The 16,448-nt window shown below is 40.4% G+C and overlaps 1 protein-coding gene across 14 annotated transcripts in view; it reads left to right on the top strand.

Annotated features, from left to right (window-relative positions):
- The window catches only part of DNAH5 (dynein axonemal heavy chain 5), a 321,491-nt gene that overhangs the window by 160,138 nt on the left and 144,905 nt on the right, over positions 1–16,448 (top strand). For 13 of the 14 annotated variants that reach the window (XR_001742034.2, XR_001742035.2, XM_017009177.2 and 10 more), the window contains 5 exons: positions 866–1,029; positions 6,688–6,844; positions 9,777–9,989; positions 10,551–10,775; positions 12,153–12,325. Coding sequence is in view for 12 of the 14 variants with exons in the window: in XM_017009177.2 (XP_016864666.1) it covers positions 866–1,029; positions 6,688–6,844; positions 9,777–9,989; positions 10,551–10,775; positions 12,153–12,325 (932 nt within the window). In the remaining 2 variants the exon portion in view is untranslated. Of the gene's footprint in view, positions 1–865; positions 1,030–6,687; positions 6,845–9,776; positions 9,990–10,550; positions 10,776–12,152; positions 12,326–16,448 lie in introns of those variants that run through there. The other variant, XM_017009186.2, reaches the window with a different exon arrangement.

Below are 16,448 nucleotides of genomic sequence, written 5' to 3'. Positions count from 1 at the left end.
CCTTTCATATTTGATGGTATATACTCATTGGTGACATACAGAAAGCTTTAAAGAAGAAAATGAAAATTTGGGGCCGGGTGCAGTGGCTCATGCTTGTAATCCCAGCACTTTGGGAGGCTGAGGTGGGAAGACTGCTTGAGCCCAGGAGTTCAAGACCAGCCTGGGCAACATGATGAAACCCAGTTTCTACAAAAAATAAAAAAAATTTAGCTAGGCATGGTGGCACATGCCTGTAGTCCCAGATGCTGGAGAGGCTGAGGTAGGAGAATCACTTGAGCCCAGGAAATCAAGGCTGCAGTGAGCTGTGACCGAGCACCTGCACTCTGGCCTGGACAACAGAGTGAGACCTGTCTTAAAAAAGGAAGAAAATTTATATGATTCCTGCCCTCTCAAGATAATCTGTGCATTTTCCATTAAATTTTTTTACAATATTCCAGTTATACTGGAATTAATTTTGTATCTTTATTTTTAAATATTTTTTCTACATAAACAATCCAGTGCTCAATAGAGAAAATATAAAAATAGGAAATGTACTTCATTTAGAGATAACCTGTGAAAAGAAATGTGTGTACTTTCTTTTCATATTTCCTTGAATTGTATTATTACTTTTGTATTCATTTCTTGTTGTAACTTAACATAATGGGAGTACCAAGGTTGAGCTAAGGATGCTTACTTAATACAGGGGATGATATGGCACAGAAAGCCCAATAAGAACTTCAATAAAATGTGTGTGACATTAGGCATATATTGCTTGGATATCTGGACTGGTTAAAGCTCTAGCCTCAGCTGGAGGAATGTGAGATACTGTCTTTGGGATCACAGATGTGTCCAAATCTAAGTGTGCTTTGTTACCTTGTTCTCATAGGAAGCCAAGCGGTTTTCTAACATAGATAAATCTTGGGTGAAGATCATGACTCGGGCACATGAAGTGCCCAGTGTAGTCCAGTGCTGTGTTGGAGATGAGACCCTGGGGCAGCTGTTACCACACTTGCTGGACCAGTTGGAAATATGCCAGAAATCCCTTACTGGGTAAGTTCACTGGCTCTTTGAAAGCTCTCGGTATCCTTGAGACAAAAGGATACAGGGAGACTAGATAGCATTAGCCAAATTTGTTTTCTTTTGCTAAGGCTGAATTTATATATAAAGCTGTTGCACAGATGAAACTGATATTTTGAAGCCTTATATTCTCATCAAAGACTTGCTAGATTTGTCCTGATGTTGGACTCATAGGACTTAAGGTTGCTTCCATCACTGGGATAAGACTGTATAAACATCCTCATACAGTCCCTGCTTTAAAAAATTAATACACCTATTTTCTGACATTCTTCTTGAATAAACATTTATAGAACCAACATATTTTATTATACTCATTATATGAAACAGTGTTTAGTATATACATGCAGTCAGGATTATATTAAAAAGTGTCTAATATCTATCTACACACACATTTATGTGTACAGAAGCGTTGTGAATTCCAAGAGTCATAAAGTTTTTTTGTTTGTTTTTTTTTCCTTTGGTTAATCACAATAAAATAATGTAAGTAGAAATATGTTACATAGTAATATGCTAAGTGTACATTGACACTTAAGGAAGTTAAACTCAAGCACCTGAGCATTTAACTTAAATAATGATGTCTCCTTGGCCCACTCTGGGAGACAGTTGATCTTTCCCCATGAATACATCCTGATGGCCTCATGACCTGTAATAGTGTCCTGTGAATAACCAGCTTGTCCTGTGCACTGCGGGACTCAGGTCATCTAAGCCAGGCTGCCCTCATAGATGCAGTTGATGGCTTAAATACTGGGCTTCAAATGGTGCTTTGGCAGGATCTCGATGAAATAAAGAGAGGAGTTTATTAAAATTGAACAAAAAAAGTGACTATGCTAAAAATGGAAAAAAGACCTGTAAGAGGGTACTTGTAAGCAATGTGGATTACTTATTTATTCTCGGCTAACCAAAAAAAAATTTGAGACGGCTGCTGGAAAATAACAATGCATGAGAAAGTTAAGGTCAAAGGACAAAAAGGGCTAATAAGCTCAGAGGGTAAAATTGGTGCAGAGAAAAACTACAAATGGACCTTAGATTTATAGAGCAAAGATCCTTCCTAGGTTCCAAGGTAAAGGGTGGCATATGATAGGTTCATAGGATTCATAGAATAAAAGTTACCTGGGGAGACATTACGTTTTGTTGTCCTCAAATTGGTAATTTGGAGGAATTTCTATTGTGTATCCTATTAAAAGGAACCCAGAGCGGAGTCTCCATCTGCTTTCTTATCACAGCATGAGTCAAACATGAGCCTCTCTAATGGAATGGCTTCATTCAGGGAACTAAGGGAATGGAATCACCGCATACATTTCAATGAATCCTCCATGAATATTACTTTCATATCCACGTTGGTGGAAGGTATTGGGCAGCATAAAACGTGAGAGATGTAAACCCTGACAAGAATGCAGAGGACAGGGAGTCTGCACTGCTGGTTAAGGACAAATTCACAGGCTTCAGCATACAGCTGGGGAGATGTGGAAGTTTGTGGACTTTTAGGAAAGTTGAAGAGTCTAAACGTATGTAACTAACCTGCACGTTGTGCACATGTACCCTAAAACTTAAAGTATATAAAAAAAAGTCTAAACAAAACCATGCGTACATGGTTGTCCACCCCACTACCTTGAAGCTAGAGGTAGGGCCAAGATTTTCTGTAGCAAATATTTGCAAGTTTACTCTAATTTAGGTGATGGGTGTTTCAAAGGCCTATGCTATAGAGCAGGGGTCCCCAAACCTCGGCACCAGTCTGTGGCCTGTTAGGAACAGGGCTGCACAGCAGAAGGTGAGTAGCAGGTGAGTGAGCGAAGGTTCATTTGTATTTACAGCCGCTCCTCATCACTCGCAATATCACCTGAGCTCTGCCTCCTGTGAGATCAGCAGCAACATTAGGGTCTCATAGTAGTGCAAGCCCTATTGTGAACTGCGCATACACCCTATTCTGAACTGCACATGCGAGGGATCTAGGTTGCGTACTCCTTGTGAGAATCTAATGCCTGATGATTGGTCACTGTTTCCCATCATCTCCAGATGGGACCATTTAGTTGCAGGAAAACAAGCTGAGGGCTCTCACTGATTCTACGTTATGGTGAGTTGTAGAATTATTTCATTATGTAATAATAATAGAAATATAAGTGCACAATAATAATAGAAGTGAAGTACACAGTAAATATAATGCGCTTGAATCATCCTGAAACTACTCCCACCCCTGGTCTATGGAAAAATTGAAAACTGGTCTTCCATGAAATTGGTCCCTGGTGGCAAAAAGTTGAGGACTGCTGCCATAGAGTATCACCATAAACCTAAGGAGGCTTTTTAAACACCATGGCCATAGCCAACGCCAACGTCAGTAAAGCACCCTTTGTTTACTTTAAAGCAAAACCATTTGCAAGTAATTCTTCTAACATAAAGATTTAGAAAAATGGAGTCTTAGGGATTAATGAGTTGATCTCCCTTATAAAATTATTAGATCAAGTCAAGTAACTGTTGAAGGACAAAAAGATTGTTGTCTAATGATTGATGCTGCGCCATTCCATTTAGCCTAATAATTATTTAGCATGACCAAATGCAGTTCAGGCACCACTAAACAGTTCTTGGATATAGACCCAGCAGGAATGCTCTGTGCCTAACACCAGGATCAGGTCAGAGAGAACGAGAAAAGGGTTTCTGAAAGTTTCCCTGCTCTGGAGGTTCTTCAACATGGAAGGACTGAGGGGCAGGGACCACTAAGACATCATGCAGGTTCAGTTACCACTAAAACACTTGCCGAGGAACTGTCTACTGGACTACCTACAGCTGAGTTTATTGCTTTTCTCTCCCTTCCTCATCTTCCACCCACCACCACAGACAGACAGACAGACACACACACACACATGCGAAATCCCCCCTTTATTTTTTTTTTCTCCTTTTTTTTTTTTTGAGATGAGGTCTCACTCTTTTGCCCAGGCTGGAGTGCAGTGGTGCAATCTCAGCCCACTGCAGCCTCCGCCTCCCAGGTTCAAGTGATTCTCCCACCTTAGCCTCTTGAGTAGCTGGGAATACAGGGGCATGCCACCATGCCCAGCTATTTTTTGGCATTTTTTTTAGTAGAGACGAGGTTTCACCATGGTGGCCAGGCTGGTCTCAAACTCCTGATGTCAGGTCATCCACCCTCCTCGGCCTCTCAAAGTGCTTACAGGTGTGAGTCACTGTGCCTGGCCTATTTTTCTTTTTTTTTATTCTTTCTTTTTTCTATGAACATATTCTATTCTGTCACCCAACATTTTGGCATTATTTTATAACCCCTGCAGAGAAAATGTCTACTCTAAAATTGTTCACACTTTTTTTTTTAACTGAGCTTTCCCTGTCTTTTGATTTTGTTACCCAGAAGAGGTTATAAGCAATATATGTAAGCCTTGTATAGACATTTGAGAAATCATATTTATACAAAAACAACACCCTCCCAAGCTGTCGAGGATCAGCATGGACAGGAAGGGTCTTCACACAGATCAGATCGTAATCGGAGTTGCGGTAATCAGACTGTGTCCGTGAAGATAAGGTATCTTCTCTATACCGTCTCAGGAGTTTGGCTGTCACACACCACAGCCTCCTTCCATACTGGTCTAACGGGACAGAAAACATGACCCAATTCCTCACCAGAATCAGACCGGGCTACTGTAAGGAGGATAACAAACACATCACAGTTATTCAAATAAGGATTGGGATATTTGAAATAACAGAATTAGTAGTTTTAAACTGAGAAAAGTTTAGTTTTTTAGCTAAAACAAAAGTAAACATTATAAACATTTAAGTAAGACTTTAAGAAAGTGAGGGGGAATAGAAGAAAATAGACTCTCCAGGCTGTCTCATGTCCAAAGTGAACAAATCCCATCGCTGCAAGAGCTTGTTTTACTGAGGATCCTGTGAGAGCTGGATAGAATGATTTCAACCCACATGCCCAGGCTTATCCATGATCATCCCTGTACACATGTCCATTTCTTTCCCAAATTCCTTACTTAGCATGACCCTCTCTTTGTATCTCCTTCTTTTCTTTGCCTTTTTCTCAATGAGTGCCCTCCTTTGTCTTGAGGAATGTAGCTCAGATTTGTCCTCAGCCTGGACACCCCACTCAGCAAAACGAGTCCAGCAGTTGACGAATCGTGAACTGTCCAGCACTCCGCACGCATGCCCTGGGAGGTTGCCATCAGGCTCCGGTTTCTGATCCAAGTAATCCTCTAGTAAAGACTTGATTTTTCCTAGAAAGTGAATTCTGCTGTTATGAAACAGAAATGTTTCCTTATAATTTTACACAGGAAATAATACAATGTTCACAAAGAAGTGAACAACAAACACTGGGGTCTACTTGAGGGTGGAGGTGGCAGGAGGGTGAGGATTGGAAAACTACCTATCAGGTACTATGCTTATTACCTGGGTGTGGAATAATCTGTACACCAACCTCCCAACATGCAGTTTACCTGTATAACAAACCTGCACATGAACCCCTGAACCTAAAATAAAAAGTTGGGGCCAGGTGTGGTGGCTCATGCCTGTAATCTCAGCACTTTGGGAGGTTGAGGCAGATGGATCATTTGAGGTCACGAGTTAGAGACTAGCCTGGCTAACATGGTGAAATCCCATCTCTACTAAAAAAAAAAAAAAAAAAATATTAGCTGGGCGTGGTGGCACAGGCCTGTAGTTCCAGCCACTTCGGAGGCTGAAGCAGGAGAAACACTTGAACCCGGGAAGTGGAGGTCGCAGTGAGCCAAGGTCATGCCACTGCACTCCAGCCCTGGTGATAGACTGAGACTCTGTCTAAAAAAAAAAAAAAAAAGGTCAAAAAAGGCTAAAATGAATACTAATACAAATGATAAGGGAAGAGCAAAAATTAAAAAAAATAAAAATTAAAAAGCTGGTAAAGTTTAAAAAAGAAGTACAATTAAAAGCATCATAATTATAACAAAATATGCTAGAAAATGAAGATAGAGAGCTATAGTTAAGAAAACAACAGAATACACATATCCATAACATCAGGAATGACCATAACAGAAAGCAAATATAGAAATGAAAGCTCGGCTGAAAGCAAGTCAGTGATCGGGAACATTCAGTGGATTTTGGAAACTCCTGGAAGCAGAGACGAGTGCCACAGCTTTTCCATGGAGCTCGTCACAGCTGGGTTTTGCTTCTGCTTGGATGACGAATTCATTGGATTCTCTTTTAAGTCACAATTTCAAGTATTGTAGGGAGCTTTTAGATGGCACAGTGCTGGGCTTGGAAACCCAAACCCAAAACCAAAACCTGCCTGGGTGTGTTTTTATCTTACTCTCTACATAGTGTTTTTATCTTACTCTCTACATAGTGTTTTTATCTGACTCTCTACCTAGTATATACAAGATTTTCCAGACTGTGCAAAATGTGTACATTATAGTTGTGAAAAATGAGGGAATTCTGCCACCAATTTTGGGAAAAAATTATTTCTCCATCAGAATGTGGAATGTTATTTGAAAACATTCTTAAAAAATTGAAAAATTAAAAACAGTGAGAAGTCACGTAGGAAAATCAGATTGTCACAAGTCACACAATCTTCTCCCCTTTTCCCATCCAGGTTAATTTATTCCTTGAACGACCAGCTTTGTGTGGTTATAAAGGTTTATGTTTTTCCTCTCCTTGTAGGTACTTGGAGAAAAAACGACTGTGCTTTCCTCGGTTTTTCTTCGTCTCAGATCCTGCCCTTCTAGAGATTCTGGGGCAGGCGTCGGACTCCCACACTATACAGGCCCATTTGCTGAATGTGTTTGACAACATTAAATCTGTCAAGTTCCACGAAAAGGTTCGCCTAATTCTAATGGCAGGCCAACAATCACCGTACCTTCGAACCTCAACTGTCTTTAAGTAGCTCTTCGAAAACGGGTTTATAACAAGGGTTGCTTCCCTGTTCATTAGCTCTTGGCCAGTGACTAAAAACAAATCTCGGGGCCCAATTTACCTTCAGAACTGTGTAATTTCTTACTATCCAAAGTGTAGATTCAAATTAAAAAAAATGCTAGTTTAGGATTAAGAAGGCATTTATGTAGCATTCATGATTTTACACACCAAGTTAACTAGTAAGAAATCCAACAAGATGAAAAACCAGCTGTTCATAAAATAGCGTCTTAACTAAACGGAATTGCCCTCATGATGTAATTGTTTTAATCTGGTTTTGGCATACTTTATTCAAACTTTTTTTGTTTTTTTAACACTTCCATGTGTACAGAATCATGAAGCTGCATGAGACTCACGATAGGTCATTTAACTTGACGGAGACTACACTTGCACAGCTGCGGAAATCTATTGTCTAATCCATCCCTCCACCCAAATTCCCTAGGAAAGTGACTCTTCTTGTTAGATATTGTATTCAGTTTCCCTCTGGTGCTTCATACAAACCCCTAGTAACATCCATTTCTTCATCCTAGCATGTGGTGTTACATTTATTGAGCAACTACCATGTTCCAGATGTCATGCTTAACACTGGGAATACGCTAACCTTCCATGAACTTGTGCTGTGGTGGAGGAGACAGGGAAGTAAACAAGTAGCCTTCAGAGCCCAGTTAGGGAGTGTTAGAGCTATTCCATTCGAAGCAATTAAAAGCCACTTGTTAAGGTCAAGCTCCTTGCTGTCTGAGAGTCATGATGCTGGCCTGGGGTTCCCAGGAAGGGTGTATCATGATCAACGCTGAAGTCAGTTTTATGTACTACACTCAAGAGAAATTGGACAATTAAATTGCTGATAATTTTGGACTTGAATTGTTATTATTGTGCTTCATTAAGCACAAAGAACGTGAGAATGCCCATCAGGGAACCTGGTTGTATGGGGGTGTCCGGGAGGGCTTTCTGCAGAATATAAATTTGCACTGATGTTTTGAAGGTAAGTAGAATATAACCTTGCAGGTGAAGAAGGGAAGTATGGTCAGGTCAGAAGAAGAGCATGTGCAAGGGAGGTGTGGGCGCTCGGAAGTGTGGGAAGCCCAGGATGTCAGCAGCGTGGATGTGTGAGGGAGTGTATTAGTTTCCTAGGGCTGCTGTGGCTTAAAACAACAGAAATGTATTCTCTCAAAGTTCTGGAGGCTAGAGGTGACCACATCTTAAATTGATCACATCTGCAAAGATGCTATTCCCAAATAATGTCACATTCACAGGTATCAGGGCTTAGGACTTCAGTATATCTTTTTGAGAGACACAATTCAACCCACAACAGGGAGCCATGAGCAAAGAGAGAAGGGGGATGGGCAGGATTCCAAAGGCCAGGTGCATTACATTACGGAATTCAGCTTCATCCTGAACATGATAAAAAGCCATGGGAGGTGTTTAAGCAGGGCAGTGACCTGATTTGTGTTTCAGAAACATTCTCTGGTACAGTGTAGGAGGCGGAATGAAAGGGGGCAAGGAAATCAATGTAAGAAGCCATTGCAAAATCAGGATAAAAAAGGCTGAACAGCTGTAACAAGGCTTTGTTAGAGGGGACAGAGAGGAAGGAAAACAGGATGGATTTTAATGGTTCAAAAATCAATGTTTCTTGTTGTTTTATGGGATGTGTGGGTTGAAAGAAGGGACTAAATTCATCAGAAAATTCTTTCTGATGTTTCGCTTAAATCCTCTGCCATGGCACTAGGACATCATGGCCCAGGAGCAAAGCTTCTCACTGTCTCAAGTTGTATGGAAGATAATTTAAGTGTCTTTCAGTATCTTATTTACTGTGTAGCTCCCTTTTGTGAATTAAATGCCCACAGACTTTTAGCCTTTGTTCTTAGCAGCTGTTTCTTAAGATCGCGTTGCTTTTGTTTTTTGTTGCTCCTGCCATAAGGTTTCTACAATCGGGGGCAGATTTTGGTTGTGTGGGTGCTAAATCTTGTAAAATTATAAATACAAATTCATATTCAGGACCTTGGAAAGGGTCTGTGTAAGTGAGGGGCCCTGAAACTGAAGCCTCATTAGCTTTTTGGTAGATCACGTCTGTCTACAGCTAAGGAGGACTTAGTACAGCACTTTAGGTTTTAGAAGCCTCATTTCATCTGAGAAACTTTAGAGATTTTAAAAATCATCATATTTGTATTAAATATTTCTTTTAAAAATAAGTTTCCCCCCTTACAGTATGGTTTATTTGGAATTGATTTCTTTCTTTTTCTTTCTTTCTTTCTTTTCTTTCTCTTTCTTTCTTTCTTTCTTTCTTTCTTTCTTTCTTTCTTTCTTTCTTTCTTTCTTTCTTTTCTTTTCTTTTCTTTCTCGCTCTGTTTCTTTCTTTCTTTTTTTGAGACGGAGTCTCGCTCTTGTTGCCCAGCCTGGAGTGCAATGGCATGATCTCGGCTCACTGCAACCTCCGCCTCCTGTGTTCAAGTGATTCTCGTGCCTCAGCCTCTCAATTAGCTGGGATTATAGGCGCCCACCACCATGCCCAGCTAATTTTTGTATTTTTAGTAGAGACAGGGTTTCACCATATTGCCCGGGCTGGTCTTGAACTCCAGACCTCAGGTGATCCACCTAGAGCGGCCTCCCAAAGTGCTGGGATTACAGGTGTGAGCCACTGTGCCTGGCCTGGAATTGATTTTGTATTGCCTTTTAGATTTCATGGCTTTTTTTTTTATTGTTTTGAAGTAGTTTATATTTGGCTTTTACAGTATTTTATAATCTGTAGCTTTACTTTCTTTGGGAAGGACAAGTCAATAATTAGTTTTTACTTTTTATATGACTATAGCTTTTTTTTTTTTTTTTTTTGGTTTCTAACATAGATCTATGATCGAATTCTGTCAATTTCCTCTCAAGAGGGTGAGACGATTGAATTGGATAAACCTGTCATGGCAGAGGGCAATGTGGAAGTTTGGCTTAATTCTCTTTTGGAAGAATCTCAGTCCTCATTGCATCTTGTGATTCGCCAGGCAGCCGCAAATATTCAAGAAACAGGTTTCCAACTAACTGAATTTCTTTCATCCTTCCCTGCTCAGGTCAGTGTATTGAAATTTGAAAGTATGTTTTGTAAAATAGTCATTTTAAGTCTCAGACATTACCTATTGTAAGCTTCAAAAATGGCTATAATTTAACTCTAGACCAGTATTAAGATTTTCATAAGGACCCATTAAATATACTTAACCTTTCAGATTTTAACTACAGATTATATGGTCATATATCTATAGACTTAAATGTGTATTTGGGTTATAGATATATTTGATGTATTGTCTTTAATTTAAAACGGTTTTTTCCCTAATCAATCTTTTGATGTAACAATGTACAAAAATCATGAAAATGTACTGATTGAACACTTTACTAAAAAAAGAAAAATAGATTCAGCATTAAAATACAGGAAACAATGAGAAACGTGACTTCAACATAAATGACTCAAAATGATAAGAAATAGAATTTCCATAGGTTATGAAAAAAGGTATCAAAGTTGATGTAATCATGGCTTTACACTTGTGTAACAATCACAGCTGTTGATCACATTGTATTTCTATTTAAATACATAAATATGCCATACAAATTCATGAAGCCTTTTTTATTTCCATAAGGTTGGATTATTAGGAATTCAGATGATATGGACACGGGATTCAGAAGAAGCCCTTAGAAATGCCAAGTTTGATAAAAAAATCATGCAGAAAACTAATCAGGCTTTCCTGGAGCTACTCAATACATTGATAGACGTCACCACGAGGGATCTGAGTTCCACGGAACGAGTGAAATACGAGACTCTGATTACTATTCATGTGCACCAAAGGGATATCTTTGATGACCTGGTAAATTCTTTATAAATGCTGTGGCATGTAGAGAAAAACAAATTCTAGACACTATCTGCATTTACCCAGTAGAACTAGTTTGATTGAATTCAAGGAAAAAATTAAATTCTGGCAAAGAATCATGTTTGTAATCAGAGCTTATCAGCTTTCTTTTCAGTCTTAACTGAACGTAAGTCATATTCTGATGATCTATGCTAAGATGTTATTGAGGCAATTAGACTTTATTCAAAAATGTTTTAACGTGATGATTTTTAATGTTAAAATTGTCATGTAGCATCTGAAAAGCCTTCATACATCTTTTTCGCTTTTTACCTATTAATTGAAGATCACCAGTTTCTTGCTATGAAAATTATTAGTAATATTGCTTAGTAGAGCTGTTTAGGACTTCCCTTAAGCCTTTTGAAAAATCACATTCTTAACAAGTTTTGCTACATTTTATGTCATTGATTGCAAATGGCCTTTCCTAATAGAGCTTCTGACATTCAGGTGTTACACATTTTTGCTTTTAAATAGAGAACAAGGTGGGAAAAGAGAGTTGTGTAGCTATAGAAAATGGGAAATAAAAAGTGAAATTTGTCCTCTACTATAAAATAAATTAGAGGCAAAAAGCTCTTATTCTCATAATAATTTTCTGGATTTGTCTCATCCCATTATGTAAAAAAGATTATGAAAGATTGGTCCTGATATAATGGAAGTAAAGGCAGCACATCAAAGCTATTGTGTGCTAATCTCCTGTCTTAATAGTTAAGCACACTACTTACCTTTCCGAGGAATAAAGGGCTCAGGCTAATTTTAGATTTCTTCTTTGTCAAAGAAAATGATGAAAGTGGCTTAAAATTTTGGTTAAAAAATCTGGACAAAAGCATTTCCAGGCAATGGCCTGTCATTTAGATGTTAGAAATTTTGGCCCGATGTAATTCTTGGGAAAAATAATTACTGGATTAAAAAACCCCAACAGCGTACTTTGTTATAGTCTTAAGAGATGTCTTTTTCCTAATGAGATTGTTTATTGCTGTCTTTGTGTGTCAAAACATGCTTTTCATAGATTATATTTCATGGTGAGGACTATGGCATTAGGCATGTCAGGGTGAAATTTAAGAAATTAATATCTTATTATTAAAATACGTAAAGGCACTTAAATTGGAGAGGCATAATTAGGGGTTTCACTTGAGTTTTCTTATTCCTATATCTTCTAGTTTCTTTTTTACTGATCAATAAATGAATAGCTTGGCTGGTGATACAGTTGACACCTGTGAAATAGTTCGGTTGTCTGTGAGTTTCATTTATTTCACTTTATGATCTACATGAATGCTAATAACGTGTATATTTAATGAGTGATTCTCATCAGAGCTCTAACATATACCTTTTGAATTTCAGTGTCATATGCATATCAAGAGTCCCATGGACTTTGAGTGGCTGAAACAGTGCAGATTTTACTTTAACGAAGATTCTGACAAGATGATGATTCACATCACAGATGTGGCGTTCATATACCAGAATGAATTTTTAGGCTGCACTGACAGGCTTGTAATAACTCCACTTACAGACAGGTGATGGAACCCTTCTCCCCAACCCCCACCATTTTTATTCTCTCGAGTTGCTCAGGGGATTTTTGCTTAAAGTCTCTTAGGGTTTATAGGCTCTTTATACTAAAACCTTTGAAATTTAGTATTTTTAGCTTTATTATCAGCTTTCTTTTCACATGGGATTTAGGTTTGTGACTGACACAGACCTTGCTTCCTTTGCCTTCAGTCTTATAGAGGCAGAGTTTAAATGTGTAAACACTGTGTGGACAGAGAATGGGCAAGAAAGGGAATTAATTTTTGTGTGTTGTCAGGTGCAAATCACAGTGGGCCTTGCGGGGGCTGCTTGAGTATCTGTTCTTACTGGGAGACAATTAAGATTTTCTTTTTTTTTTTTTTAAGCAGGAAAGAAATTGAGTATCAATGCAGGTAAAAGTTGGGAGAGGGCACTGGAAAGGCCTCCAGAGTGTTAACTCTTCCCTTGGCCTGCTATTTACAAGTTGTGTTAGTGACACCTGCCACTGCAACCTCCCTAGATTCAGTCCCCTCATTTGTAAGATGAGCTAAGCCAGTGGTCCCCAGCCTTTCTGGCACCAGGGATTGGTCTCGTGGAAGACAATTTTTCTACAGACCAGGGGGTGGGTGATGGTTTCGGGTTGATTCAAGCTCATTCCATTTATTGTGCACTTTATTTCTATTATTACATTGTAATGGATAATGAGATAATTATACAATTCACTATAATTTAGAATCAGTGAGAGCCCCGAGTGTGTTTTTCTGCAACTAGACAGTCCCATCTGGGGGTGATGGGAGACAGTGACAGATCATCAGGCATTAGATTCTTGTAAGGAGTGGGCAACCTAGATCCCTCACATGCACAGCTCACGATAGGGTTCACGTGCAGTTCATAATAAAGGTTGTGCTCCTATGAGAATACTGCCGCTGATATGACAGGAGGCAGAGCTCAGGCGGTTATGTGAGCCATGGGAGTGGCTATAAATAGAGATGAAGCTTCTCTCACTTGCCCGCCGCCCACCTCCTGCTGTGTGGCCCGGTTCCTAACAGACCATGGACCAATACTCTGTCCTCATTCAGCTCCAATACTGGTCTGTGGCCTGGGGGCTGGGGACCCTGAGCTATGTTGTCTCTAAGGGTGCTTGCAGGGCTAATATTCTGTGATTTGCTTAGTCTAATTTGAACTTTGTAATATCAACTACATTGTATATTTTCGCTTCAGGTATGCACTGAATGCTCATTATTGTCAAATGGCTTGCGTTAATCATTCCATATTGTATTCATATAACATAACATCACATTGTGCCCCACAATAATATACAATGACGATTTGCCCATTAGAAATAATGTTCATTAAAAAAATGGACTGGGCATGGTGGCTCGCTCACGCTTGTAATCCCAGCGCTTTGGGAGGCCGAAGTGGGTGGAACACAAGGTCAGGAGATGGGGACCATCCAGGCTAACACGGTGAAACCTTGTGTCTACTAAAAATACAAAAAATTAGCCAGGCATGGTGGCACGTGGCCATAGTCCCGGCTACTCGGGAGGCTGAGGCAGGAGAATCACTTGAACCCGAGGCGGAGGTTGCAGTGAGACAAGATCATGCCACCGCACTCCAGCCTGGGTGACAGAGCAAAACTCCGTCTCAAAAAAAAAAAAAAAAAAAAAAAAAAAAGTGGAGTTCCCAAATAGGAATTTCTCATAAAATGCTTATGTGGTTATTTTATGTCTTCTGCCTTTCAAGTCTCCAGCACTTCCTTGTCTTCCTCTGTCTCCACCGAAGGCCTTATTTCATGTTTTTTTTTTTGAGAAGATAGACGCATTCATCTCCACCACCATGTGCGTTAACCTGGGTGCCTGTTCTCATGCAGCTGCTTTCTCTCCAGGTTCGCTGTCCAAAGCCAACACCCCCACTGACTCCAGGATTTCCTCTCTGGAAGCAACATCCATTTTCACTTTCTACTGAATCCTTTTCATCAACACACAAATATGCTGAGATTGCTTCTACCCAGCGAACCCTACCGTGATTGTCCTGGTTTCCTTCCCACTCCATGCTCCCTTCAAAACCCCTCAAAAGCACAGTTTCTCTCCACCTTGTTTTTCTTCAACTCACTTCATTCAGGCTCTCTGCTAACTTTGTATTGCTGCCATAACAAATTGCCATAAATTTAGAAGCTTGAACCACACAAATGTGTTCTTTTTGTAGTTCTGTCCATCAGAAGTCTGACGTGGGTCTCACGGGATTGTAATCAGGTGTCTGCAGGGCTGTGTTTCTTCCCAGAGACTGAGTTCTGTTTCCCGCTCTTCCAAGTTGTTGGCAGAATTCCTTTCCTCCTGGTTGAAGGACCCAGGTCCCCATTGTCTTAGGTCAGCTCAGGGCTGTTCCAGCCTCTGAAGGCTACCACGTTCCTTGATCCTGACTCCTTCCCTCATCTTCAAAGCCAGCAGTGGTGGGTCAGGTGCCTTTCGTGCTTTGAATCTCCCCTCCTTCTTCTGTCTTGTGTCTCTGACCCACTCTTCTACCTATCTCTTCTGCTTTTAAGGACTCATGAGATTAGGTTGAGTCCACTTTATTATCCAACATAATTCCCTCTTCTCAAGGTCCTTAACATTAATGACATCTGCAAAGTCCCATTAGCTGTGGAAGGTAAGATGTTTACAGATTGCAGGTTGCAGAGATTAGAACGTATTTTGGGGGGACCATTATTTTGTCATACTTTCCGCATCACTCTGATAAAACAGCTCTCCTGAAAGTCACCCAGACCTCTTGCTAAATCCAGTGTTTTTTCCTGGATCTCGTCTTTCTTGAGCAATCAGCTGCATGGGAGCAGTTGATCATTCTCTCCTTTTTGATACACTTTCATCACATGGCTTCCAGGACACCACACTCACCTGGTTCCTCCCAGTGGTCTGGATGTCCCTTTGTACCTGCTCCTACTCGTTCCTCTTCATGTTTCTGACCTTTAAACATAGAACTGCCAGGCTCTTCTCTTCTCCACCTCTACTCATTCTTTAGGTGATCCCACATGGCTTCAAAAACCCCAAACTCTGCCTCAAACCAGGGCTTCTCTCCCAAACTCCAGACACACATACCTATTTGCCTATGTGACATGTCTGTTGGTTGCTTACAGTATATTTAACCTTAGCGTGTTTGATCAGCCTCACAAAAGTGCCCTCCTGCTGTTGTCTTCATTTTAGCAAGTTGGCCATTCCATTTTATCAGAATGCTGGGGGGAAGTGTGATAGTAAGTATAATGGCCCCCAAAAGATGTCCATGTCCGAACCCCTGAAGCCTGTGAATACATCACCTCCAAATGGGCAATCCAACACTCCCTGGAGTAACCCTGAAGCCCTTCCTTCTCTCTCACCTCATTTTCCAATAATCTACCTTCAATTTGGTCAGCAGTGCTTTCAGGTTCCTTCTAGAATGTGACCATTTTCACCCCTTTGCCTTACTGGTATGGCTCCGATGACTGGAGGAACAGCAGGGTCCTTTGCCTTGTGCCGATTAGATAAACGCTACGGACACACATGGAGTCGTTTCATGGGGTGGAAAGTTAAATAGGCAAGAAAGAAGGAAAAAGCTCCCCAGTACAGAGACAGAGGGAGGGGTGCTCCGAGCAGAGAGAGAAAAACCACGTAAACAGGGGAAAACAGTAGGTTATATTAGGAGGCTGGAGGAGGCGGTGTCTGATTTGCATAGGGCTTAGGGTTTTGGTTTGACCAGGTGTGTCATTCATGTAGCCCTCGAAAAAACTGGCCCTCCAACCCCAGCCTTTTAATATGTAAATGCAGATCGCAATGATGTCCTGCACACATGGAGTTATCTGGAGGCAGCCATGATGCTTGGCGCACGTGGTGACAAGGAGAAGAGGGTGGGAATTGCCCTGTTGGATGGACCCAGTTTCTAATCACCAGCATTTGCATATCAAAGCTTGCCGGCCTGGCTCTTTAAGCTGCTTTTCTGTTAGAAAAGAAATGTTTCGGGAGCTACTTTTATTAAAAGAAACAAACCTTACCGAGGACTCCTTTTACCCTCTCTATCTGCCTACAGTTATTTCTATATCATTACTACTATTTTTTTTTTTTGAGAAGAAGTCTCACTCTGTCGCCCAGGCTGGATCACAGTGGTGCG

This window comes from Homo sapiens, chromosome 5 (genome assembly GCF_000001405.40).
Source record: "Homo sapiens chromosome 5, GRCh38.p14 Primary Assembly".
In the NCBI taxonomy this organism is placed as follows: domain Eukaryota; kingdom Metazoa; phylum Chordata; class Mammalia; order Primates; family Hominidae; genus Homo; species Homo sapiens.
The sequence above is the reverse complement of the archived record's forward strand: the minus strand, read 5'-3'. Positions and strand labels throughout refer to the sequence as shown.